This window comes from Homo sapiens, chromosome 19 (genome assembly GCF_000001405.40).
Source record: "Homo sapiens chromosome 19, GRCh38.p14 Primary Assembly".
Taxonomy (NCBI): Eukaryota; Metazoa; Chordata; class Mammalia; order Primates; family Hominidae; genus Homo; species Homo sapiens.
Window position 1 is genome coordinate 19,804,258 of NC_000019.10, and position 27,079 is coordinate 19,831,336.

Genomic DNA, 27,079 nt, shown 5'->3' on the forward strand with positions numbered 1-27,079 from the left:
AAAAAGTGGGCAAAGGATATGAACAGACATTTCTCAAAAGAAGACATTTATGCAGCCAACAGACACATGAAAAAATGTTCATCATCACTGGTCATCAGAGAAATGCAAATCAAAACCACAATGAGATACCATCTCACATCAGTTAGAATGGCAATCATTAAAAAGTCAGGAAACAACAGATGCTAGAGAGGATGTGGAGAAACAGGAACGCTTTTACACTGTTGGCGGGAGTGTAAACTAGTTCAACCATTGTGGAAGACAGTGTGGCGATTCTTCAAGGATCTAGAACTAGAAATACCATTTGATCCAGTGATCCCATTACTGGGTATATACCCAAAGGATTATAAGTCATGCTACTATAAAGACACATGCACACGTATGTTTATTGCGGCACTACTCACAATAGCAAAGACTTGGAACCAACCCAAATGTCCATCAATGACAGACTGGATTAAGAAAATGTGGCACATATTCACCATGGAATACTATGCAGCCACAAAAAAGGATGAGTTCATGTCCTTTGCAGGGACATGGATGAAGCTGGAAACCATCATTCTGAGCAAACTATCACAAGGACAGAAAACCAAACACCCCATGTTCTCACTCATAGGTGGGAATTGAACAATGAGAACACCTGGACACAGGGCAGGGAACATCACACACCGGGGCCTGTCATGGGGTGGGGGGATGGGGGAGGGATAGCATTAGGAGAGATACCTAATGTAAATGACGAGTTAATGGGTGCAGCAAACCAACATGGCACATGTATACCTATGTAACAAACATGCATGATGTGCACATGTACCCTAGAACTTAAAAGTGTAATTAAAAAAACCCATACACAGTACATTAAAACCTGTCTAAACCAATAAATACACTAATTAAATTAGGAAAATATAAAATTAACATAAAAGTATATCTATGGTTTCATACAGTTTAACTATCTGATAAAATAAAGAAAAAATCTTATTTACTATAACATTAAATAATAAATTTCTGAGGAAAAAATTAACCAAGGAGGTAATACAAAAAAAAAGAATGAAACAATTGGAGAAGATCCAAGTAAATTTTAAAATAGTTTATGTCTATGGATTGAAAGATTAAATATTACTGAAGTGCCATATTATCCAAAGTGATCTACAGATTCAATGAACTTCCTATTAAAATTGCAGTGTTTTTTTTTCACAGTAATCAAAAATACAATTCTAAAATTTACATGAAACTAAAATAAACTTTGACTAGCCAAAGCAATCATGAGGAAAAAGAACAAAGCAGAAGGATATCATACTTAAAATTTCAAACTATACATTTCAAGACTATATAGTAATAAAACAGAAAAATGAACAAAAAAATGGAACAGAAACTAATACTTTCACACACACATTTAAGACCTGATGCAAAAAGAGAACTTAAAGAGTTTTAGTTTCTCAAAATCATGCAGATACTTGTGTGTCCCCAAAACAATGGAAAAACAGCCAGATTGTGCAGTCTCTTATCTGTCATGAAGAGGACTTTGGCTCTCAGTGTGAACTTGAAGGAAGCTCACCGAAAGAAAAATAGAATTCTTAGAGAATTGAAAAGCATAAGACAGAAGATGCCTCTTTGTGAGAGCAAAATTAAAAGAAAAAAGAAAAGAAAAGAAAAAAAAAGCTGCCCAGGAACTATTTCCTTGGGAACACAGCTTCCCAAATCACATTTTAAGGACTCGCTTTCTCTTTGACCTTGGGACCTCTATCTGTGTTGTCTGTCCTATTCATTTTCACTCGCACCTACCTGGGGGTTTGGCAATCATCTCATGCCTCTTCATAGTTAAAGGTTTTTTTCCTTGCTCCAGACAGGTGATCAGGTTTGGTTTAGAGACAACAATACCTGTTTTATTAAGAATAAATAATATGAATCTTGCTCATATTCTCCAATTACAAGCTAGTACTGTGCTCAGCAGAGAGGATGTGATAAAGTATTCTAGTAAATTAATACTAAAATACTAAGTTATAACAGAAATTTTTTTTCTTTTTTGAGGCAGAGTTTCACTCTTGTTGCCCAGGCTGGAGTGCAATGGCTCGATCTTGGCTCACCACAAGCTCCAACTCCAGGATTCAAGCGGTTCTCCTGTCTCAGCCTCCTGAGTAGCTGGGATTACAGGCATGTGCCACCACGCCCGACTAATTTTTGCGTTTTTAGTACAGACAGGGTTTCACCATGTTGGTCAGGCTGGTCTCGAACTCCTGACCTCAGGTGATCCACCCGCCCGGACTCCCAAAGTGCTGGGATTATAGGTGTGAGCCACCAAGCCTGGCCTATAACAGAAATTTCTAAATATTTAGAAAATACTTTCAATTTGTAGGTTTCTTAATTTTACTACTGGGTTCTACTAAATCAAAAATTGGTGGTGGCAATTAGATTTTCAGGTGGGGGCAACAATATTTTATGCCACTAAATTTTTGGAATTACCACTAATTTGGAGTGAAGAACACAGCTCAACTCAGGAATGTGGAAAGTTTGGATTAAGATGAAACATCATGAAGAAATTCTTTTCTAAATGAAAAAATTCTGAAGATTTTTCTGGAAAAAGGAGATCTGAAACTCTTGTATGCAAAGAATAAATTACTAAAAAACATTCTACAAAAAAGAGAAATAAAACCTTTAGAGTAATATTATGAATTATGTACTCAAGTTATCCTCACCAAGGAAGATCAGGTTTCTGTAGTTCTCTAACATCACATCCCTATATAGATTCCGCTGTGCAGCGTCCAGGCAATGCCACTCCTCCAGAGAGAATTCTATGGCCACATCTCTAAATTGCAATGGTCCCTGAAAAAAACACACACACTTATTTTTACCAAGTGGCCATGGGTGGAATTTTTAATTTGACTTCAGGTGAAATGAGAGAGTAAAGAGAAGTGGTTCTGACTTATAGGACTAAAATTATCCAATAAAATGATTTTCAACACAGAAATATTCTCTAATGTATTCTCTAACTCTGAGAAGAAAGAGCAGCACAAGATCCACAACATCAGTTCACATATGATATTTTTCTAGATAATAAAGTATAAAATTACGGCCATGAACACGAACATGTACATTTTTGAGTGGTATATTTACATCATACGGAATGAGCAGTGAATATTTTTCAGATAGAAAAGAAATGTTGGGTTAGAAGGCACCTCTCAAATTTTAATATGTACAATAAGCTGACGACCTTGTTATGCAGGTTTTTTTTTCCAGAAGATCTGAAATAAAGTCTTTCTTATTTATTTATTTATTTATAGATGGAGTTTCGCTCTTGTTGCCCAGGCTGGAGTGCAATGGCGCCATCTTGGCTTACTGGAAACACCGCCTCCTGGGTACAAGCAATTCTCCTGCCTCAGCCTCCCGAGTAGCTGGGATTAGTCATGCGCCACCATGCCCAGCTAATTTTTTTTTGTATTTTTAGTAGAGATGGGGTTTCTCCATGTTGGTCAGGCTGCTCTTGAACTCCCAACCTCAGGTGATCCGCTGCTTCAGCCTCCCAAAGTGCTGGGATTATAGGCGTGAGCCACCGCGCCCGGTCAATTTTTTGAATTTCTAACAAGCTCACCAGTAATGCCAATGTTTTTGGCCCCAAAAGGATATTTTTTCAAACATTTAGTAAGTGGAAGAGCCTGTGTTTTCCCCCACATTTTCTAGCCTATAAACAAAGAGCCCTCATTTATCAAAGAAAATATGTAGGAAAAAAATAAGAAAGGACAGCTGCCAGATTAAATGTGATGGTTTATGCACATCAGCTGCATAAAGATACTTAATAATAAAAATAACTCTATAGTGAAAAAAATCTCTCAGGGAGCTACTTAACCAAGTGAATCATTAACCACTTTTTTTTTTTTTTTTTTTTTTTTTTTTTTTTTGAGACGGAGTCTCGCTAGGTCGCCCAGGCCGGAGTGCAGTGGCGCGATCTCGGCTCACTGCAAGCTCCGCCTCCCGGGTTCACACCATTCTCCTGCCTCAGCCTCCCGAGTAGCTGGGACTACAGGCACCCGCCACCAGGCCCGGCTAATTTTTTATATTTTTAGTAGAGACGGGGTTTCACCATGTTAGCCAGGATGGTCTCGATTTCCTGACCTCGTGATCCGCCCGCCTCGGCCTCCCAAAGTGCTGGGATTACAGGCGTGAGCCACTCTGCCCAGCCAATCATTAACCATTAACTGCACTAGGACAAATTTTTATGATATGCTAATGCTCACAGAAGAACACAGCATCACTGTTGAAATACTCCCCCCAAAAAAGTAAATTATAGTCTGAATTTAACCATAAAGAAACATCAGTTTTAGGCCAGGCGCAGTGACTCACGCCTGTAATCCCAGCACTTTGGGAGGCACGAGGTGGGCGGATCACGAGGTCATGAGTTCGAGACCAGCCTGACTAACAGGGTGAAACCTCATCTCTACAAAATACAAAAATTAGCCGGGCGTGGTGGCGGGCACCTGTAATCCCAGCTACTTGGGAGGCTAAGGCAGGAGAATTGTTTGACCCCGGGAGGTGAAGTTTGCACTGAGCCAAGATCGCGCTACTATACCCCTGGCCTTGGTGACACAGCGAGACTCTGTCTCAAAAAAAAAAAAAAAAAAAAGAAACATGTTTTATGCAAACTTTAAAATACAGATTACTCCTCTGTTCTGTAATTTTTAGTAGTAATTTTAAGTAGGCTTCACTTAGCTCCCTAGAGAGCAGGTATCTCTTAATAATTTTTTTCAGAACTTTCTGGGTAATAAATGCCATCTCATTTAAATAAGCATTTTCTTAATCTCGTTCTGCATAGAGCTAATAGAACACACAGATGGAGCCTCAACATTACATGTTCTCCATCTTTACTAAGGACCAGAGTTTTACCCAATAGAAATCTTGAGTATCCACATCTTTCCATGTTCAACAGCCACAAAGGAAACATTTTTAATATTGCAGATTATAAATTATTGCTGAGAATCCTGCATAGCATATAAGAAGCTATGATGCAGAGAATAAAGAGAAGGCTCTGAGATACAGGAAAGAAATATTTTTCAGAGACCCTTGACTATCATAAGAATTTTAACAAGTAGTTAAACCAAACTTATTAGGGCAGAAAAACACAAGTAGAGAAGTAAAGTTTTGTAAGTACTAAACACAAGGCAGTCCAGGAAGCAGAGTGGACACAGCTCTTCATCTGATGCATGTTTACCTGAAGGGGAAGTTATTTTTTTTCTTCCTCCTTCTTCTCTGGAATTCATTCTCAGATGAGACTCTCTGAATAAATTACATCTGCATCTTGAGAATATGCTTTAAAGGTGTCAGTATTACATGTTTACCTGATAGCATGACATCAATTGGCAGAAAAACAAAAGGTTAACCCATTTCTGTCCTTTAAAACAGAAGAGATTCAGGAACAATGAGCTGCTCCATGAAAATAAGAATGTTTCTCCTTTCCTGTCCCCAGGTGCCCTCCCCTGCCACAGACACCAGCAATTTCTGCTACAGTAATGGAAATATGTGCCACACTGACCTGTCCCTACCAAGTCAAAACAGAATAGGCCCTGTGACCATCCTTTAGTGCAAAGGTGGAACTTAACTCTCATGAATGTATTTTGAAGCCCTCATACCTGATTCTGGCCTCACCTTAGAGTCATATGAGGCACTTCATTAAACAACATGGATGCTTCCACACACAACAATAAACAGAAGCTGTGGGGAGGGCACAAGAGATTTCTGCAAATTGGCCATGAGATCCTAATGAGAAGCCTGGGCTGATAACCACTAAGCTAAGCATTGCCTCTCAAGCTTTAACGAGCTTATAAATCACTTGGTAATTTTGGCCCCACTTTATGTAGTGTGATTTTGCAGGTTTGAAAAGGGTCCATGAATGGGTGTTTTAAACAAGTTCCCTGTCAATGCGGATGTTGCTCCCCCTTAGCTCATTATTAGCATTAGTTACAGAAGCAGGAACAACACAGGGTCCCTTACACTCAGCACTCTTGTCACAACCAAATACTTCTGGTACAGATAAGGACAACCCATCTCCATCCTAAAGTTTTATATTCTTTGCTGGTTCTTTACAGACAAAACAGAAGGCAGCAATGTCTGAGTAAGTCTTGATTTAAAAAGCAACATGTACACATTTACTAATGCAATGTTTATTAAGCAGGTACTATGTGCTCAAGAGTATGATACAGAGCACTATGCTGGGTATTCTCATAACATCCTGGGAGCTGGCACTAAGGGTTTAATAATTTCCAGGATGTAGTTAAAGGTCCCAGCATTTTTATTTCTTCTATTTATCGGTCATCAAAATTTTTTTAAAAATTGTATAGAATAAAAGCTAAATATAGACAGATGGAAGAGATATAGAAGGAAGAGTTTAATGTATTATAGAGATAATTTTATTCTATTCATATTTACTTTTTTGTGACTTATGGAGCAACTACTGGATCTGCAGGAATAGAAAACAAGTTGCTAATTAGAATGTTTCTGCAAGCATTGGTTTTAATACAACATTTAAAAACTAAGACCCTAAAATACATACTTTATTTTTCTCATTTATATGCTTTTGGGTTTCAGAAAATTGTGAGCACCAGCTCTAGAAATGCAGTAGGATTTACCAGCCAAAACTCTGATCTCTTCTAATCAGTTCTGTGAGGCAAGACTCCATGGTAGGGTCAGAACTAAATAGTCTCCAAAAAGGGTGAATCTGAATAGGTCTGGGGCAGGGTGAAGACACTATGTAGAATTCTGTTCTCTATGCCACTGGGGTACTTCCAGTTTTGTTTTTCCTAAGCTTACCTAAAAGAAATGTAAATCCAGAGTTTCTGCAATTTTAATCTTTTCTAGCCACTGCCCTGTCAACTTTATACTATATACTAATATGCAATTTAAACAAATCCCTTAAGGTCTTCTAGAGTAACTTTTTTTGTTTTGAGATGCAGTCTCACTCTGTCACCTAGGCTGGAGTGCACTGGTGCGATCTCGGCTCACTGCAACCTCTGCCTCCCAGATTCAAGTGAATCTTCTGCCTCAGCCTCCCAAGTAGCTAGAACTACAGGTGTGCATCACCATGCCTGGCTAATTTTGGTATTATTAGTAGAGATGGCATTTCACCATATTGGCCAGGCTAGTCTCAAACTCCTGACCTCATGATTCGCCTGCCTTGACCTCTCAAGTGCTGGGAATACAGGCATGAGCCACTGTGCCTGGCCTTTCTAGGGTAATTTTATTAGAAAATAAATACGTACACTTAAAGAAAAAGAAATAGAAATTATACTGCTGGGTGTAGTGTCTCACGCATGTAATCCCAGCACTTTGGTAGGCCGAGGTGGGTGGATCGCGAGGTCAGGAGTTCAAGACCAGCCTGACCAAGATGGTGAAACCCCATCTCTGCTAAAAATACAAAAATTAGCCGGATGCGATGGCAGGCACATGTAATCCCAGCTACTCAGGAGGCTGAGGCAGTAGGCTCACTTGAATCAGGGTGGCAGAGGTTGCAGTGAGCTGAGATTACACCATTGCACTCCCTCTCAAAAATATAAAAAAAAGGAAATTATAATAACGGTTCTTCTCTTCATAAATATGCCTTCAGATGTAGACATCAGAAGCCACAACAATATAAAGTGGCCTAAATAAAGCCCAAGATTTTAGACACATTGTATTTGTTGTACCAACCATATGATGCACAATTCAATTATTTATCCAGCTGCTAGTCTAGACTAAAAGTTTCTGGATTGTAGGAACCATGACTGCTTCATGTTTTTTTTTTTTTAAATGGCTATATGAAATGGAAGCTACTAGTTTATCTATTTGGGTCTCCAGATCTCCTCCTTGTTTATCATCCAAGTACCAGGAAACTGGAGAAACTCTCATCTGGGTACCAACCAAAGACATCTCTTGTATGAGGGGATGAACAAACACAGATGACTCATTTCTCTTACACTGAGACAGAAGCAGAATTAACTCCTGTCAGCCTGACACAATTCTGCATGGGACATCTCAAATGCCTCAAAGACACCTAGGTGATTTTGAAGGAATTCCCAGTCACCCTGGGCCGCTGGCCCAATGATAAGCCAGGCTGGAGAGACTCAGGCTGATTCTAAATAGAAAATGGAACTTCCCTGGTGGAACTCCACAACCTGGATCACCCATTCTGATTTACTAGCTCTTGGGTAAGAGAAAGAACAAAAATACTCTACTCCAGTATCACATTTTACAGGTGAATATAGTTGTGGTTGTGATCATGGCTCTGGATACTTTGCAGCCTTGATCTCTCACTACAGATTATGCCATCACATTCTATTTCCTCCTGGAGCCTCTGACCTCACTGTAGCAGGTCAATGAACAAGATGTGAAACATCTCAAAGAGCCACACTCCCAATGCAGAAAATGCCTTTTGTTAGTTTTCTGTACATTCTCTATCCAAAGTCTGGCCCTTTTTTATCTGCAGATTCTAGGTAGGATCAACTTGGCTCTGTATCCTTTGGTGTTACAGTAAGTGGAGTACAATTAAAGGAGAAATCTTAAGAAAAAGCTCAGATTAGATATGAGATTGATCAAGTCAGCCAGAAAATATTCCCCTAAAAGCAATTTCTCTCTCAACACCCAAAGTACACAGCTACTCTCAGCATGAGAAACATGAACATTATGGAGAAAGGGGGCAGATTTTCAGAATACTTTTATAAAGTTTCTTTTCCATCTCTGCTGCTCTCTCATCTCCTAGCCATTGAATAGGGGTTCTATATTTAAATACATCTGACAACTTCCAACAACACTTTTTGATGAAGAAATAGAATCTGACTGTGTTCATATAGTGGAATACATTAGAGCTTGCAATATAACTAACTAAAGAGCTATGTTGGTGGTGTTTGGGTGGCCACATCACCTGTCTTTATTTGTCCTGTAATAGCAGCATTCCAATTTAGTGAAATAAAAGATACTAAAATTGTGTTTACTCATAATTATCCCTATTGAATAAAGTAATAAACATGTCAGACTAATATCTACTATAACAATTTGGTAGTAAATTTTCTTTGGATATTAGATATAAATATCTAAGCATTAATAATTTTAATGAACTAGTCATAATGTATGTAGCATTTTTAAAAATTGCAACTATATTTCAATTAAAACTTTTACACTTTCAAAAGTGTAAATAATATTAAAATAACCATTTAAGTGAAAAGGAATGCTTATACTCTGCTGGTAGGAGTGTAAATTAGTTCAACAACTATAAAAAGCAGTGTGGTGATTCCTCAGAGAACTAAAAACAATTATCATTTGACCCAGGAACCTCATAATTGGGTATATACCCAAAGAAATATAAATTATATTATAAAGACACATCCACATGCATGTTCATTGCAGCACTATTCACAATAGCAAAGACACGCACAGGCTGTAAATGCCTATCAATGGTAGACTGGATAAAGAAAATATGGTATGGTCAGATGCAGTGGCTCATGCCTGTAATCCCAGCACTTTGGGAGGACAAGGCATGTAGACTGCCTGAGCTTAGAAGTTTGAGACCAGCCTGGCAACATGGCAAAATCTTGTCTCCACAGAAAATACAAAGAGAAAAACTGGCCAGGTGTGGTAACGCCCGCATGTAGTCCCAGCTACTTGGGAGGATGAGATAGGAGAGATTTGCTTGAGCCTGGGAAGTTGAGGCTAAAGTAATCCAATATCATGCCATGGCACTTTAGTCTGGGCAATAAGTGAGACCCTGTCTCCAAAAATAAAATAAAATAAAATAAAAGATTTAGTAAAAACAAAATATGGTACATCATGGAGTACTCTGTGGCCACTAAAAAAAAAGATCATGTCCTTTGCAATAACACTGATGAAGCTGGAGACCATTATTCTTAGAAAACAAATGCAGAGGCTGCGTGTGATTGCTTATACCTGTAATCCCAGCACTGTGGGAGGCCAAGGGGGGTGGATCACATGAGGTGCGGAGTTTGAGACCAGCCTGACCAACATGGAGAAACCCCGTATCTACTAAAGATACAAAATTATCCGGGGTTGGTGGCACGTGCCTGTAATTCCAGCTACTCGGGAGACTGAGGCAGGAGAATTGCTTGAACCCAGGAGGTGGAGGTTGCAGTGAGCCGAGATCACACCATTGCACACCACCCTGGGCAGCAAGTGCAAAACTCCATCTCAAAATAATAATAATAATAATAATAATAATGCAGAAACAGAAAACCAAATGCATGTTATTATTTATAAGTAAGAGCTAAATAATAACAACACATGAACACAAAGAGGAGAACAAAAGACACTGAGGCCTAGTTGAGGGTGGAGGATGGAAGGACTAAGAGGTTCAGAAAACATACCTGTTTGGTGCTATGGGTAGTATCTCAGTGACAAAGTAATCTGCACACCAAACCTCCATGACATAATTTTAGCTGTGTAACAAACCTACATGTGTACCCTGAACCAAAAATAAAGGTAAAAGAAAAAAAAAAATCCCTGGGTGGGAGAGAGTGCAATGTAGGTGAGAGGACTGATTTTTGGTACAGATAGTGGTCCCAGTGGGGCTGTACTCTATTTATTTCCGTGTGCATGCAGGCAGGTGAGATTATGAACAGCTGGTCCAAAATGCTAGGATGGTGGAGAAAACAGGTTGCTGCTGCAGATTCAGTGTCTGTGAGTGGGAATATGCTAGGAGACTTGTAGAGACTTGTGGATTCTTGGCAAGAAACACTAGGATCAAAAATGCCATTGTGGGCCGGGCGCTGTGGCTCATGCCTGTAATCCCAGCACTTTGGAAGGCTGAGGCAGGAGGATCACGAGGTCAGGAGATCGAGACCATCCTGGCTAACATGGTGAAACCCCATCTCTACTAAAAATACAAAAAAAAATTAGCCAGGCGTGGTGGCGGGCACCTGTAGTCCCAGCTACTCAGGAGGCTGAGACAGGAGAATGGCGTGAACCCGGGAGGCGGAGCCTGCAGTGAGCCGAGATCGCGCCACTGCACTCCAGCCTGGGCAACACAGCGAGACTCCATCTCAAAAACAAAACAAAACAAAAACAAAAACAAAAAATACCATTGTGAGGTTCCTGAGGGTGGTGCCGAGTCCCGGGAGGAGTGTGGACATGTCAATGTCTAGTGTGTGTGTTCGTGAGTGGGTGGGAATCCTGTGGTGGCAGCTGTGGGAAAAGGGGGTCTGTCATCAGAGCTTCTTTCCTCTACATTTTCAGTCCTCTGTCACCCTGAGAGAAGACCTGGGATCACAGGACAACGGGCAGTGTGACAGCCTGTGTACGACAGAGCAGAGCCTCCCATTCCCAATCACCCAAAGTTTTATTCCAGGCCAGGCCTCCGTGGTATCTTTTTTCTGGCACCATATCTGTAGAGTCTGCTGAACATCAAACAATTCTCCAACACTAACTTATTGTCTCACATTTGAATTCTGACAGCACCCAGAGTCATCGTAGACCCTGATTCAGGGCTCAGTCCCGCAACATTGTCCTCATGGCAGATGCCAGTCACAAACCCCAAGGGCCCATCTATGCTTCTGAGCTACTGTTTAAAACCTGGGGAGTCCCATAACCTCTCTGAAGTTCAATAATTTGGTAGAGCTACTCACAGAATCATCAAAATACTGTAGTTATCTTTACTGGTTTAATATATAAGATGCAGCCCTGGAAAAGCCAAATGGAAGAAATGCACAGAACAAAGAAAAGAGATGGGGAAAGATGAAACACATAGATAATCCTGGAAAATTTTTCTGATTAATAAAATTCTCCATCCTTTGTGTGCTCCAGGAACAGTTTATGGAAAGAAACACCCTTCCCATTATGAGTTAGATGGTGCTCTCTTTTCTTACCTATCACACAGCCAGACACACACTCTGCACATTTTCTCTTTCTCATTAAAAAAAAATCAGCTGAATTTGTTTTCAGTGGTCATAATGAAATATTTCTTTTCTTTTCTTTTCTTTTTTTTTTTGAGCCAGAGTCTCACTCTGTCGCCCAGGCTGGAGTGCAGTGGCACTATCCTGGCTCACTGCAACCGCTGCCTCCCAGGTTCAAGCCATTCTCCTCCCTCAGCTTCCCGAGTCGCTGGGATTACAGGTGCCCACCACCACACCCAGCTAATTTTTGTTTTTTCGGTGGTGTTTTTGAGATGGAGTCTTGCTCTGCTGCCCAGGCTGAAGTGCAGTGGTGCGATCTCAGCTCACTGCAAGCTCCATCTCCCGGGTTCACACCATTCTCCTGCCTCAGCCTCCCCAGTAGCTGGGACTACAGGCACCTGCCACCACGCCTGGCTAATTTTTTTGTATTTGTAGTAGAGACAGGGTTTCACCCTGTTAGCCAGGATGGTCTCGATCTCCTGACCTCGTGATTCACCCGCCTTGGCCTCCCAAAGTGCTGGGATTACAGGCTTGAGCCACTGCGCCTGACTTGTGTTTTTTAAAATAGAGACAGGGTTTCTCCATGTTGCTCAGGCTGGTCGCGTACTCCCAACCTCAGGTGATCTGCTCAACTCGGCCTCCACAGGCTGAGTGCTGGGATTACAGGCGTGAGCCACCAGCCTGGCCTAAAATAAAATATTTCCTTTTTTTTTTTTTTTTTTTTTTTTTTTGAGGGGAGTTTTGCTCTTGTTGCCCAGGCTGGAGTGCAACGGCGCCGTCTTGGCTCACTGCAACCTCCACCTCCCAGTGGGATTACAGGCATGTAAGCCTGCAACAGGCAGCACCACGCCTGCCTAATTTTTTTTGTATTTTTAGTAGAGACAGGGTTTCTTCATATTGGTCAGGCTGGTCTGAAACCCCTGACCTCAGGTGATCCACCTGCCTCGGCTTCCCAACTTGCTGGGATTACATGTGTGAGCCACCACGCCCAGCCAAATAAAATATTTCTTAATCAAACTTAAGTTTATCTCCCTCCCTTGGGCTCCTGAACTTTGAGCTACCCTCAGTCTGAGTCAACATACAACCCCATTTTATGTCCCTCCTAAGAACATGCTGATTTCAGTGTAAAACATTCTCTGATCTAAGATCTGACTTTTTCACCCTCCATTTGCCATTCCCCTCCCACCTCCTTTCTAATCTTGTTTGCACCTCCCTAGGAAAGAAAGTGTTTTTCTGCCTACACCTTTGCAAGCCATAAAGATCTTATAGTTAGTTGGTATTTCCTCTCGTTGCAATACTTTTTTAGAATTTTTTTTACGTAAATCTGATTTTTTTTTTTTTTACAAAGTCTAGAAAGTACCTCAAAACAATAACAACTTCATCATCAGTAAGACTCTCTCAGTTTCCTTTCATCTTAACCTCAACTGCATCTGCCTGTGGATCCCCAGCTTTCCAGGGCTCTGTGGCTTCTCTCAGAATAAAGGCTTCTTCTATGGCTGGGGTGAGCAGGCTGAGACAGCTGCAGGGGTGGCTCCTCAGAAAGAACTAACTGGGCCTTTAATAACTTCCTCTCGCATGCTTAACATTAGCCTTAGCTTGGAGTCACTAGGTTCAAGCTTTAATTTCCATGTCAGAGTTATTCACTTGGTTTTTGAAACTGTTTCAATAGTCCTGTGAAATTACTCAAACACAGTGTTTACGTAAGGGAAGGAAATTTTAAGGTGCTTTTTTTTTTTTTTTTTGAGACGGTCTTGCTCTGTCACCAGGCTGCAATGCAATGGCCCGATCTCAGGTCACTGCAACCTCTGCCTCCCGGGTTCAAGCCACTCTCCTGCCTCAGCCTCCCAAGTAGCTGGGACTACAGGCATGTGCCACCACACCTGGCTAATTTTTGTATTTTTAGCAGAGACAGGGTTTCACCATGTTGAGCAGGCTGGTCTTGAACTCCTGACCTCAAGTGATCAACCCCCCTCGGCCTCCCAAAGTGCTGGGATTACAGGCATGAGCCACCACACCTGGCTAAGGTGCTTGCATTTTATACCTTCATAAGAAAAGCAAATATATCTACTTCTTTCAGACAACGTATTATTTTATTATTTATATTAAAAACAATGTAGTAAAAAATTAGTCATATGGGAACACTTCTAGAAGGTACCACATTTCATCACATATAATTTAGCATTAAACTCAGAAATCAAGACAACAGGAAATAGAACCAAGATATTCACTGTCACAAATTTACCCTGCAAAAAGAGGAACTGATGTTTTGACGATCTATATAACTCATCAATTATCTACCAGATTTTCCTGTGGAAACATTTTCATTGTCTACAGACAAAATGGAAGAGAGATTTTCTCTACTTTTTTCCTTGGTAGCTAGCATTCTTAAAGCTAAGGCTTAGAATTCTGTTTGAAATCACTCAGCCATAAAAAACACATCTGAGAAAATTCCTGAACTCACTCTGGGAAAGAAAAAGGTAAATGAGAATTATTAACAAATAGAATGATTAGAAACTAATTTTTTAAAACTCATCTCTTTTATGTGCTTTGTAAATATTTTTTTACCTTTCAAGCCCTACTAATAAAATGCAAATTACAGTTAAAACACTGATGCAGCTGAGTGCAGTGGCTCATGTCTGTAATCCCAGCACTTCGGGAGGCCAAAGCAGGTGGATCGCTTAAGAACAGAAGTTTGAAGCCAGCCTGGTCCATCTCTACTAAAAACACAAAAACTAGCCGGGCGCAGTGGCGGGCACCTATAGTCCTAGCTATTGGGGAGGCCGAGGCATGAGAATCACTTGAACCCAGGAGCCAGGGGTTGCAGTGAGCTGAGATCGAGCCACTGCATTCCAGCCTGTGCAACAGAGACTGTTTCAAAACAAAACAAAAACAACAACAGCACAAACACCTGAGGTTAAAATAAGTGAACAAATCTTTTCAAGGTACAGATCCTATCACCCACCCCATCCTGTTCAGGTACATGCTCAATAACTACCCTCCCAGGAGACACCGCGCCATGCCCCAGTGAGTGCCCCACGTGCATTTTACTTTGTTAAGTTTTTACGCCCTCTCACTGGGGTCAGTTTTTTTTGTCTTTTGAAGTGTTTTTTCACTACTTTTCTGCTCCCCACCCAAGAGAATCCAGGGGTCAGAAATTATTTGTTTTCCCCTCAATACCAGCATCTGATTGTCTGACCAGCAATGTGTCTCCAAGAAATGGAAGCTAGGTTGGGTGAAGAAAATCTTCATGTCTCAAGGGGTTAGCTTTTCAAAAAAAAAAAAGAAAAAAGTGCACCAGGATCTGCCTTTCAACCCCAAGGCTGCCACCTGCTCCCTTAAGAGGCTACACTCCATACTTCAGGTAGTCCTATGGGAGAAAATGACCCAAGAGCTAACAGTCACTAGACACTCTAGCAGACATAGCCATGGTGGGTATCTTGGTTTATCCCCAGAAAGTACTAAAACCCAGGACCAGAAAAAAACTGAAGGTTGGCTGAGGACACATCACCCTATTAAGTTTCCAGAGGGTAATCTTGACCCAAAAACATTCGGTAAGTTCTCTGGAAAAATAAAAGACAAAGAGGCACAGATATTTTTTACAATACAGTGTCAGGGGATTATTCTTTGCTTTCTTCTCATGGGAAATATTTACAAACAGAAAACAAATCTTTTCAATAGTGTTATGCAATACTTTTTAAAAAATGACTATTGGTCAGGCGCAGTGGCTCACGCCTGTAATCCCAGCACTTTGGAAGGCTGAGACGGGCGGATCACGAGGTCAAGAGATAGAGACCACCCTGGCAAACAAGGTGAAACCCTGTCTCTACTAAAAATACAAAAATTAGCTGGGCGTGGTGGCACGCGCCTGTACTCCCAGCTACTCAGGAGGCTGAGGCAGGAGAATCGCTTGAATCCAAGAGGCGGACGTTGCAGTGAGGTGAGATCGCCCCACTGCACTCCAGCATGGCGACAGAGTGAGACTCCATCTCAAAAAAAAAAAAAAGATTGAGGAACATGGGGTACACCTGAGGCCCTGCTTGGGACACATGTGAAAAACGCCAGGGAAAATCAGTCCCCTGTGGGATGTGAAAATAATTAAGTGGCAGGCAATTAGAATGAGGAAGCTCTAGTCCCCAGATTCCCACTTCTAAGGAAAAAAAACAAAACTCAAGTGTATTCTTTGGTAAATTACTACATTAGGGGAAACAAAATTCAGGCTTAAGCAACTATAAACTGCCAATTAAACTCTGATTACATAACCAGGAAATTTCCATCTCGATTGTACAAATTTAAAAACTACCTAACTAGGCTGGGCGCGGTGGCTCACGCCTGTAATCCCAGCAATTTGGGAGGCTGAGGCGGGTGGATCACAAGGTCAGGAGATCGAGACCATCCTGGCTAACACGGTGAAACCCATCTCTACTAAAAATACAAAAAATTAGGCGGGCGTAGTGGCGGGCGCCTGTAGTCCCAGCTACTGGGGAGGCTGAGGCAGGAGAATGGCGTGAACCCAGGAGGCGGAGCTTGCGGTGAGCGGAGATCGCGAGACTGCACGCCAACCTGGCGACAGAGCGAGACTCAAATAAATAAATAAATAAATAAAATAAAATAACAACTACGTAACTATACCTAATCAATTATTGAATTTGGTTTTCTTCATCATGCATTTCATAAATGTCTTTTCTTCAAGCCCCTCCCATGGACTACAAACAACAAACTGTAGCTGGGTGCTCTACAATTCTTGAATCACACTTTCATTAAATTATTTGATATTTTTGCGGTGACTCCCCCCTCCCCGTTTGTGTTTTTTTAAGGCAGAGTCTTGCTCTGTCGCCCAGGCTGGAGTTCAGTGGCGCGATCTCAGCTCACGGCAACCTCCGCCTACTGGGTTCAACAGATTCTCCCACCTCTGCCTCCCCAGTAGCTGGGACTACAGACATTTGCCATCACACACAGCTAACTTTTGTATTTTTAGTAGACATGGGGTTTCCCCATTTTGGCCAGGCTTGTCTTGAACTCCTGACCTCAACTGATCAGCCCGCCTCGCCTCCCAACGTGCTGGGATTACAGGGGTGACCCACCACGCCCGGCCCAATAAATTTTTAATAGGAGAAAAGAGAAACTGTGAACCCCACGAACCAAAGCTCTTCCCATTCATGAACCCGCACCCCGAGTCAGGATTCTCCCCTGACGACCTTCCCGTGGCCCCTGAACAATCTGGGAAAGACCTGTGGGTGCAGAGCTGCCCGGAGAGGGTTCCACGCCAGGGCACAGTCACTGCGCAGGGAAAAGACAGGACACCCCGGGGACCCGCTGTCAACGCAGCCGCCATGTTATGGCTGGGGCGGAGCTGGGCAATGAGAACTTGGAGCGCAGATTGTGGAGCTGACTGCCGGGAGGCCTGAGTTCTGCCACTGCCACAGCCACAGCCACTTCCTCCCCAGTTCCAACCAGCCCCTCTCCCTCTCTCGGGATGTCGAACTGGCACTCTCACCATTTCTAGGCTTCCAGGGGGTCCCGGCGTCCTAGCTGTGACCCTCCTAATACCTGCAGGTCACAGGGCCACAGAGGCTGGGCCTCTAGGAGCTGACGGCACAGAGCAGTGAAGACGATAGCTGGATCTCTGGCGTCAGCGAGAGACAATGGGCCCGCCAAAGCCGGAAGCCGGAAACCGTCCTGTTCGCTACAGCTGCGTGGCTGATTGGACGGTTTCCAGCCCAGCGTCCCTGATTGGATAATGCTTGAGGCCCCGCCCCCTCAGGTCCTGAGTTACAGAAGACGTGATCCGATGCTGGACTGAGTGAAGAAAGAGAGACAGTCTAAGCTGCAGCCTTTTCTTTTTTTAAAAAAATTTTATTTATTTATTTTTTTGAGACGGAGTTTCACTCTTGTTGCCCAGGCTGGATTGCAATGGCGTCATCTTGACTCAGTGCAACCTCTGCCTCCTGGGTTCGAGCGATTCTCCTGCCTCAGCCTCCCGGGTATCTGAGATTACAGGCGCCTGCTACCATGCCCGGCTAATTTTTTTTTGTAGTTTTAATAGAGACGGGGTTTCACCATATTGGCCAGCCTGGTCTCAAACTCCTGTCCTCAAGTTATCCGCCTGCCTCGGCCTCCCGAAGTGCTGGGATTACAAGCTTGAGCCACCAAGCCTGGCCAGCTGCAGCCTTTTCAAACAGGACTTCCTCCCTGAGCTGAGCCAGGCCCACCCCAGAGCATGGGAAAATTCTCTCTCTTTTTGACTCTCTCTCTTTTTGAATATATTCAAAAGGTGAACGGAAGTATTCTGCTGTCATATTAATAATACGTAAAATTTTTGTTCAAGAGAAAATCAACTTTTACTTTGGTAATAGTGTATTATCAATTAAAGCTAATTTTAATAAAACCTTAGAAATAAATTTGTCATTTTGAACACTCCAGATTTACATATATATTTTGTAATCTCTTGTAAGTTTTTTAACTTTTTATATTTTATTTTTATCCACATTCTTTTTATTTTTCCATTTGAAACAACCTTTAAGTAATTTCAAACTGCTATAGGGGGTAGAAAGAAATCATTTAGGGCCAGGCGCGGTGGGTCAAGCCTGTAATCCCAGCACTTTGGGAGGCCAAGGTGGGCAGATCACTTGAGGTCAGGAGTTCAAGACTAGCCTGGCCAACATGGTGAAACCCCATCTCTACTAAAAATACAAAAAATTAGCAGGGTGTGCTGGTGCACACATATAGTCCCCGCTACTCTGGAGGCTGAGGCAGGAGAATCACTTGAACCCAGGAAGTGGAGGTTGTGTAACGGCCCAAGGGGTTCACCTTGCCCTTTGCCTAGACAGAGCCAATTCATCAAGACAGGGGAATTTGTGGAGGAAAACTTAAATATTAAATTTGAACTTATTGAACGTGGACACAAACAATGGTCACCAAGTCTTGGAACAGGTTATGTGAACCCCTTGAGGTGTTCATCCTGCGCTGTTTTGGAGAAATCTCTATTTCAATCTATTCCAATACATTGGTTATTGAAAAACAATAGACAATCACACACACACAAAAAAAGTTGACCTTTTTGTGTTCTTTGAGCCCAATCGCGAAGGGCCCTCATGACTGGGCCTCATGCCAAAGAACTCATTACAAAAAGAGCTAGGGTCCCAGATCACGCGGAACCTTCATGAGACCTCTCCTTGTCTGTGCAGAGATGGGTGGCTGACTCTGGAGCCCAGGCTGTTGCTTTCCAGTCTGGTGGTGAATCCTCCTAGTCTGATGAGTGCGGTATCCGACTCTGGAGCCCAGCCTGTTGCTTCCTGGTCTGGTGGTGAATCCTCCATAGTCTGGTGTGGAGGAAAAGTTAAATATTAAATTTGAACTCAATTGAACATGGCTACAAACAATGGTCACCAAGTCCTGGAACAAGTTGTGTGAGCTGCTTGAGGCATTCATCCAGCGCTGTATTGGAGAAATCTCTATTTCAATCTATTCCTATACATTAGTTGTTGAAAAACAATAGACAATCGCAAAAGCCAGTTGACTTTTGTGTTCCTTGGGTCCAGTCACGAATGGCCCTCATGAATGGGCCTTATGCCAAATAATTCGTTACAAAAGAGCTAGGGTCCCAGACCGTGCCAAAGCTCCATGAGAGACCTCTCCTCCTCTGTGCATGGGCGAGTGTCCAACTCTGGAGCCCAGGCTGTTGCTTCCCACTCTGGTGGTAAATCCTCCATAGTCTGGTGAGTGTAAATATATATATGTCTCTTTTCTCCTCTCCTTTTCCTATTGCAATTTGCTTATTATATGAATCTTCTTCTTATATCAATCTGCTTATTGTATTTATTTGCTTATTATATCATTTGCTTATTATATCTGCATTGCCATTTACGTGGGATAAAGCTTGTTTACCCTTAAAGGTATTGTGTGTGTGTCTTTTCTTCTCACCTTGAGCCTTTCCCTCACAGAACATTTTTGGCATTACAAACAGGATTTGAAACCAAAAGTGTGCCTCTTTTTGGCCACAAGGACAGGGCTGGAGGCTCGGGGACTTCCCATACCCTGGGATGGGAACTCCCCCAGTTCTCCCCCTTGGTGATTGAATGGTCCAGGGGAACTGGACTTTGTGAGAATTGAGAATCTAAATTAGTGCAATTTAAACCTTTGTGCATGAAGTGCTGCAGGAGATTCCAGTCAGCAAAAAAGATGCTGAGGGATCTCCCAGAGTGGATGGTGTTTCCTTACTGCTTATAAGTTTATGTGTCAAGATACGGGCTGGTTGCAAGAAGAGAAATGTAAGTTGGAAAACGAATATGCTAATCTGACTTCCAGACTGGCCCTGGCCCAATGCCAGGCCTATGTCTTGATTGATCAGGCTCAAAGCTATCAGCCTATTGCTGAAAAAAGCAGCTGTCCAAGTGGCCCGGTCAGGGTGAAACTGAAGAACTAGTCAGTTGGGGCTTGGAACAGGTAAAAACCCAGCTCCTATCTCAGAAATGGGAAATTAACCTAGTAAAATTCAAGGACCCGCACAAACTGTAAAATTCCATGGCGTTCTATGGAATGCAGAGATGTAGTCCATCTTACCAAAGACTAAGGCTAAAATACTAGAATTTACAACCCCTACCACTAAAAAGGAGGCCCAGAAATTTATTGGCTTTGTTTGGATTCTGGAGACATCATATTCCCCACTTGGGTAACATTTTACAACCTCTGCATGCAGACTTTCACTGGGGAGAGACAGAGAGCATGGCTTCTTAACAAGCTAAACAAGCAGTGCAACTGGCCCTGGATCTATGGCCCATACGGGATGGGCCAGCAGAACTCCAAGTGACTGTCCTAGATCAACATGCTAATTGAAGCGGTAGGCAGAAACAAGATGGGAAGAGGGTACCTTTCAGGTTTTGGACCCAGAAACTGCCAGAGGCCAGAAAAGCTTATACCCCTTTCAAGAAGCAATTGTTAGCTTGCTATTGGGCTTTGCTGGAAACGGAACACCTCTGTTTCAACCATGAGGTCTTTATGAGGCCTGAAATTTCTATTATGACTTGGGTCATGAGTTCCCTCAAAGCTCACCAGATAGAGCACTCTCAAGAAAGTAGCATCATAAAATGGAAATAGTACATACAAGTCCATTTAAGCCAAAACCAAACGGGGTATCACTTTTACATGAGGACGTACAAAACTTCCCAGCTCAGGAAATCACCAAGCAAGCCTTGCTGTTAGGGAAGGAAACCTCCCCTGCCCAATGGGGCAAATCCTTTAAAGAACTAAGCCCAGAGGATCAGAAATATGCTTGGTTTACTGATGGATCCACCAAATACATTGGTGGGACCCGATGCTTGAAGGCCGTGGCTTATAATCCTGTTAAAAACATAAGTATTTATGATGAAGGAAGGGGTGGGAGCAGCCAGTTAGCTGAACTAGTAGCCATCCTCTGAGCTATTCAAGAGGAGGCCAGAGGGATTTGTCACTTGTATACCAACTCTTGGTCTGTAGCAAATGATCTTACTACCTGGATACCCCAATGGTAACAAAACAAATGGTTAATTGGGAATAAAGAGGTTTGGGGAAAACAATACTGGGGAGATATCTGAATCCTTTCGCACACTACCATTATCACCGTTTTCCACGTTGATGCCCGTGCATCTCTGCTTTCTCTTGACAGACTATTTAATCAGCAAGTTATCAATAACGCCAAAATTTCCACCATAACTGCAAACTTGAATGGATTACGTGTCCAAGCCTTTCAATGACAGGCATTGTAATGTATGGTGGTATAATTGATAGTGATTATTGGCCTAAATGCTACTAATTTAGTGGCCTAAATGCTCCACTTAAAAGACACAAAATGGCAGAATGGATAAGAGTTTACCAGGCTGGGTGCAGTGGCTCCTGCCTGTAATCCCAGCAGTTTGGGAGGCTGAGGTGGGTGAATCACCTGAGGTCGGGAGTTTGAGACCAGCCTGACCAACATGGAGAAACCCTGTCTCTACTAAAAATACAAAATTTAGCCAGACGTGGTCGTGCATGCCTGTAATCCCAGCTACTCAGGAGGCTGAGGTAGCAGAATAGCTTGAACCCAGGAGGCAGAGGTTGCGGTGAGCCGAGATCATGCCATTGAACTCCAGCCTGGACAATGAGAATTAAACTCCAACTCAAAAAAGAAAAAAAAAAAAGATTTTACAGGCCAAATATCTGCTATCTTCAAGAGACTCACCCAACACATAAGGACTCACTTAAACTTAAGGGAAAGGGTTGGAAAAAGATATTCCATGCAAATGTACCCCAAAAGCTAGCAGTAGTAGCCATTCTTACATCAGACAAAACAGATATTAAAGCAAAAACAGTTAAAAAAAAAAAAGAAAAGACAAAGAGGGACATTATATAATGATAAAAGGACTAGTCCAACAGGAAAACATCACACCTCTAAATATATATGCACCTTACACTGGAGCTCCCAAATTTATAAAACAATTACTACTAGACCTAAGAAATGAAATAGATGACAACACAATAATAATGAGGGACTTCAATACTCTACTGACAGCAGTAGACAAGTCATCAAGACGGAAAGTCAACAACAACAACAAACAATGGACTTAAACTATATCCTAGAACAAATGGACTTAAAATATATTTACAAACATTCTATCCAAGAACTGCAGAATATACATTTTATTCATCAGCACTTGAAACATTTTCCAAGATAGACATATGATAGGCCACAAGTCTCAATAAATTTAAGACAATCAAAATTATATCAACTACTCTCTCAGACTGCAGTGGAATAAAAGTGAAAATCAACTCCAAATGAACCATCAAAACCATGCAAATACACGGAAATTAAATTTAAAAATTAAAGATCAACCTGTTTCTGAATGAGTGTTGGATGAAATCAAGATGGAAATTTAAAAATTCTTTGAACTGAATGCACTCGCCATGTCCATGGAGAGAGGCTGAGGCGGCCGAGCTCCGGCTGGAGGTACCGGAGCGCCAGGACAGCAAAGATGTCGGCTGCCTTAGTCCGGGCAAATGTCTGGGCTGTGAGCAAGAGGAAACTTCAGCCCACCTGGGCCGCCCTCACCCTGACACCTTCAGCAGTAAACAAGATAAAACAACTTCTTAAAGATAAGCCTGAGCATGTAGGTGTAAAAGTTGGTGTGCGAGCCAGGAGGCTGTAATGGCCTTTCTTATATTCTAGAATATACAAAGACAAAAGGAGATTCTGGTGAAGTTATTCAAGATGGAGTCAGAGTATTCATTGAAAAGAAAGCAAAGCTAACACTTTTAGGAACAGAGATGGACTATGTTGAAGAAAAATTATCCAGTGAGTTTGTGTTCAATAACCCAAACATCAAAGGAACTTGTGGCTGTGGAGAAAGCTTTAATATTTGAAATCTCAGGACTCTTCTGGCCGTAGGTTCCAGGAAAGCTGGTGGAAGCCTTGGGGCTCACTGCAGAAATCATGTGACTGTCACGTGTTTAATATGCTGCTGCCTTGTAAGGAAAATAAAGTGATGCATTTTGAAAATGAAGCCAGTGTGTTAGATTCCAGAAGAAATGATATTTGTATTCCCTGTAGGGGACAGAAAATGAGAAGCCATCACTCTCTTTGGATCATTTAGGTCTCTTACATCCTTTGTTTTAGAAACAGTTTCATTAAAGTTGCCTTCCTGGGCACCTGTTTATCCATTTCCTGGACCGTGTGCACTCCTTAGCTCTCTACTGAATGGCTTGAACATGCATCCCCCTCAGCATTTCTCCCAACCAGATCGGCAACTCCTAAAATCTGAGATAGGACGTCCTGACTGCTGGTAGTAACATGGTGGTGCATTGTTTTTTCCAACCAAACTTAACATAGCCTTTTAGTACATTTGTATGAAAATTTTTATTTTCAGATGCCTCATTGCGTACCCTTTAATAGTACCGGGCAAAGATTTTCTTCAACTATAGTACAGATTAGTTCTGAGTGATGGTATCAAAAGGTGAGAAAGATGTCATCCACCTGTTTTTTAATCCATTTCTTTTGCCACCCTATATGTCTGCTCAGAGATGGGATCTCAAGGTGACTTTGATTCTTTTAGTTGTGGGGTCTCTTAAAGCCATCTAGCCCACCTCCCTCAATTCCCTATGTGAGGAAGCAAATCCCCAGGGAAGCCAAAGTGCTCCTGTCCACCCCCACTCCACAGGCCAAGGGAGAATGGGGACTCTACCCCCATCTCCCCTTCCTTGTAGGTGACACATGCTCTGCCCTCTGAGGCAATCAGTGAAGGCAAATGGTCTGATTTCTTTATTTGGTTGACATTTTGATAGAATTTCTTTATAATTTGATGGAGATCATAGTATTTTATTTTGAGTGGGAAGAATTTTAAAACCATTTTATGTGAATTACCATCTTGTTTCTTTCACCTTTGAAACAATGGTTTGTAGCAGAGAAGACATTGTAGCAACCCAGAATTATGCTTTTGGAATGTGGTCCTCATTGTGCAGGAGAACATGGGGATCTTTTCTTAAAATTCTGTGTGCATACACTTTCTGATTCCTCGGTCCAGTTGCTAAAGTTTTTAATATTTTAGCCTAATATTTTTATCATCAACCTTTCTTTAAAAGTGTTCCTTTTGTCACGTAGTTACTGATTTTCCCGGGTTTGACATGTTAAGTATTCTATGAAATGACATATATGCTTTTTTTGAAAGCTGATTCTCATGAATTCAAGTAGCTGAGGTCCTTTATGTTTCTTTCATTCCCTAAAGTAGCTGGCACAAAACACACCAAAACCTAGAGCAGTAGTTTTATGTAAATGCTCATGAGTTTGTATCAATAATATAATTGTTGATCCACTTATAATTCATTCAATACTGTATGTATCTAGAGATTGAGTTGTCAATTAAAAAAAAAATGAGGCCTCAGGCTGGGTGTGGTGGCTCATGCCTGTAATTCCAGCACTTAGGGAGGCCGAGGTGGGTGGATCACCTGAGGTCAGAAGTTCGAGACCAGCCTGGCCAACATGGTGAAACCCTGTCTACTAAAAATAAAAAAAAATTAGCTGGGCATGATAGCAGGTACCTGTAATCCCAGCTACTTGGGAGGCTGAGGTAGGAGAATTGCTTGAACCTGGGAGGTGGAGGTTGCAGTGAGCCGAGATCTTGCCATTGCACTCCAGCCTGGGAAACAATGTGAGACTCTATCAAAAGAAAAAAAATGTGGCCTCTTTGTGATCATAAAAAAAAAATTATTTGAACCGAACAATAATAATGACACAAGCTATCAAAATATCTGGTATATGGCAAAAGCGGTGCTAAAAGGAATGTTCATAGCATTAAATGCCTACATCAAAAAGTCTGAAAGAGCTTAAGTAGACAATGTAAGATAACACCTCAAGGAACTAGAGAAACAAGAACAAGCCAAACCCAAACCCAGTAGAAGAAAAGAAATAACAAAGATGAGAGCAGAACTAAATGAAACTGAAACAACAACAACAATAAAACAGAAGATAAATGAAATGAAAAGCTGGCTCTTAGAAAAGATAAACAAAATTGATAGACCATTAACAGCATTAACCAAGAAGAGAGAAGATCCAAACAAGCTCAGTTAGACCTGAAATGGAAGATATTGCAACTGATGCCACAGAAATACAAAAGATCATTGAGGGCTACTGTGAACACCTTTACATGCACAAATTAGAAAACCTACAGAAGATGACTAAATTCCTGGAAATGTACAACCCTCCTAGATTAAAAAACAAAAACAACTCTGAACAGACTAATAACAAGCAGTGAGATTGAAATAATAATTAAAAAAAATTGCCAACCAAAAAAGAAGTTCAGAACCAGGTGGATTCACAGCTGAATTCTATCAGACATTCAGAGAAAAACTGATGGGGATGGGGCCAAGATGGCTGACTAGAAGCAGCATCCCTTAGAAAAGAATCATAATAGCATGTGAAACCTGCACCGTCACCTGAGGTATCCAGGTTCTGTCATCAGAACTGACTAGGTGGCTGGCATGAACCATGGAGAAGAAGGAAGAGCAGTGTGGGGCAACAGCCCACCTGACACCCACATGGGCCTGGGGAGCCCCCACCCCCCAGCCAAGGGAGGCAGTGAGTGAGCATCCTACCCAGCCTGGGAAACTGTGCTTTTTCCATGGAACAGTGCAACCCATGGATCAGAAGATTCCACTCGTGAACCCACGCCACCGGAGCCTAAGGTACCAACTGTTGGAAACAAGAGCTCAGAGTCACAAAGAAAACAAGCACTCAAACAAGGAATTTCTCAGCAAGGCAAATTTACTTCTACAGAAGGGTGCTGCTCACATCTCTGGTTGTTGTGAGAGCACACTGTACTAGAGAGGGAAGGGGTTATTATTGCTAACATAGTCCCTACTTCTGTGTCCTGTCCCCATTGGCTGGAGTCAGACCACATAATATAAGCTAACTCGATTGGTTATTTTAAATCGAGACTGGCAGGAAGGTTGTTTACAGAGCAGGTAACTAGGAGTGAGGAGGACTTCTTCCAAATAAAGAAGAGATGTGGGTTACAGATTGGGACTGGTGGGAAGGGTTGTTTACAGAGCAGGTAGCTTGGAGCAGGAACATACAAGGAAGTTGATTTGGAGAACAAAGAACAAGGAAGTTATCCTTTGAAGAGAAACTTATTATGCCTGACACAACCCTGGAGCTAAGCAGATCCTCAACAGCCTCTCAGCTAGAATCTGCGTAAGCCTGCCAAGTTCCCAGGGGAGGGGCGACCAGTACCACAGCTGTGTCTGGCTGCTGTCTAAGCCCTTTGAGCTCCTTGGGGGAGGGACAGCAGCCAGCAATGGGACTCACAACTGCCTGACAGGCTAAGCTCCCTGGGCTCAGGAAGGGCAGCAGCCATCTCTATAGCTCCTGGCCACACTTTTCCCCTGCTAGAGCCAGGGAGGCTGGACAGCTTGGTCTCAAGAGATGTCCCCTACAACCCAACACTCTGGCTGTTGCAGACTGCAGCCAGAGTGTCTCTTCAGGCCTGACCCTGACCATCCCTCCTCACTGGGCAGGGCCTCCCAGCAGGAACTCCAACAGCTCCAGCCAGGGGCTCAGAGGCAGAACTCTGATCTCCCTGGGCCTGAGCCCCTAGGGGGAGGGGTGACTGCAGTCTCTGTGGACCAGCAGACTTAGCCTTTCCTCCTGCTAGTTCTGAGGAATTCAGGCAGCCCAGATGAGTGGGCTTCCCCTCAGGAATCACCCCACCCCTCCACCGAAGGATAGTCAA

General features: G+C 42.4%; 1 protein-coding gene and 2 pseudogenes across 3 annotated transcripts in view, besides 5 other annotated features; 2 read left to right on the top strand and 1 right to left on the bottom strand.

Moving 5' to 3' along the window:
• The window catches only part of ZNF506 (zinc finger protein 506), a 29,040-nt gene extending 11,547 nt beyond the window's left edge, over positions 1-17,493 (bottom strand). The window contains exons 1-3 of one of the 2 annotated variants that reach the window (NM_001099269.3): positions 17,344-17,493; positions 2,685-2,811; positions 1,774-1,869 (exon numbers count right to left, since the gene is read on the bottom strand). In NM_001099269.3, the coding sequence (NP_001092739.1) occupies positions 1,774-1,869; positions 2,685-2,811; positions 17,344-17,346 (226 nt within the window). In that variant the 5' untranslated portion in view covers positions 17,347-17,493. The remainder of the gene's footprint in view (positions 1-1,773; positions 1,870-2,684; positions 2,812-17,343) is intronic. The other variant, NM_001145404.2, reaches the window with a different exon arrangement.
• Positions 1-27,079, top strand: part of ZNF56P (zinc finger protein 56, pseudogene) — a 59,609-nt pseudogene that overhangs the window by 27,684 nt on the left and 4,846 nt on the right. The window lies entirely within an intron of this gene.
• Positions 16,642-16,821: an enhancer, noted in NCBI's record as "active region_14372". NCBI's record gives its function as "activates an Ori minimal core promoter by ATAC-STARR-seq in GM12878 lymphoblastoid cells {active_cell/tissue: GM12878}" and the evidence as "EXISTENCE:reporter gene assay evidence [ECO:0000049][PMID:35858748]".
• Positions 16,852-17,251: an enhancer, noted in NCBI's record as "active region_14373". NCBI's record gives its function as "activates an Ori minimal core promoter by ATAC-STARR-seq in GM12878 lymphoblastoid cells {active_cell/tissue: GM12878}" and the evidence as "EXISTENCE:reporter gene assay evidence [ECO:0000049][PMID:35858748]".
• Positions 16,852-17,713: a biological region, named in NCBI's record as "H3K27ac hESC enhancer GRCh37_chr19:19932265-19932779".
• Positions 17,199-17,713: an enhancer, noted in NCBI's record as "H3K27ac hESC enhancer chr19:19932265-19932779 (GRCh37/hg19 assembly coordinates)". NCBI's record gives its function as "activates a minimal SCP1, AML or CMV promoter by ChIP-STARR-seq in naive H9 embryonic stem cells {active_cell/tissue: H9 hESC(naive)}" and the evidence as "EXISTENCE:reporter gene assay evidence [ECO:0000049][PMID:30033119]".
• Positions 17,282-17,441: an enhancer, noted in NCBI's record as "active region_14374". NCBI's record gives its function as "activates an Ori minimal core promoter by ATAC-STARR-seq in GM12878 lymphoblastoid cells {active_cell/tissue: GM12878}" and the evidence as "EXISTENCE:reporter gene assay evidence [ECO:0000049][PMID:35858748]".
• Positions 22,752-23,405, top strand: ISCA1P5 (iron-sulfur cluster assembly 1 pseudogene 5; annotated as a pseudogene).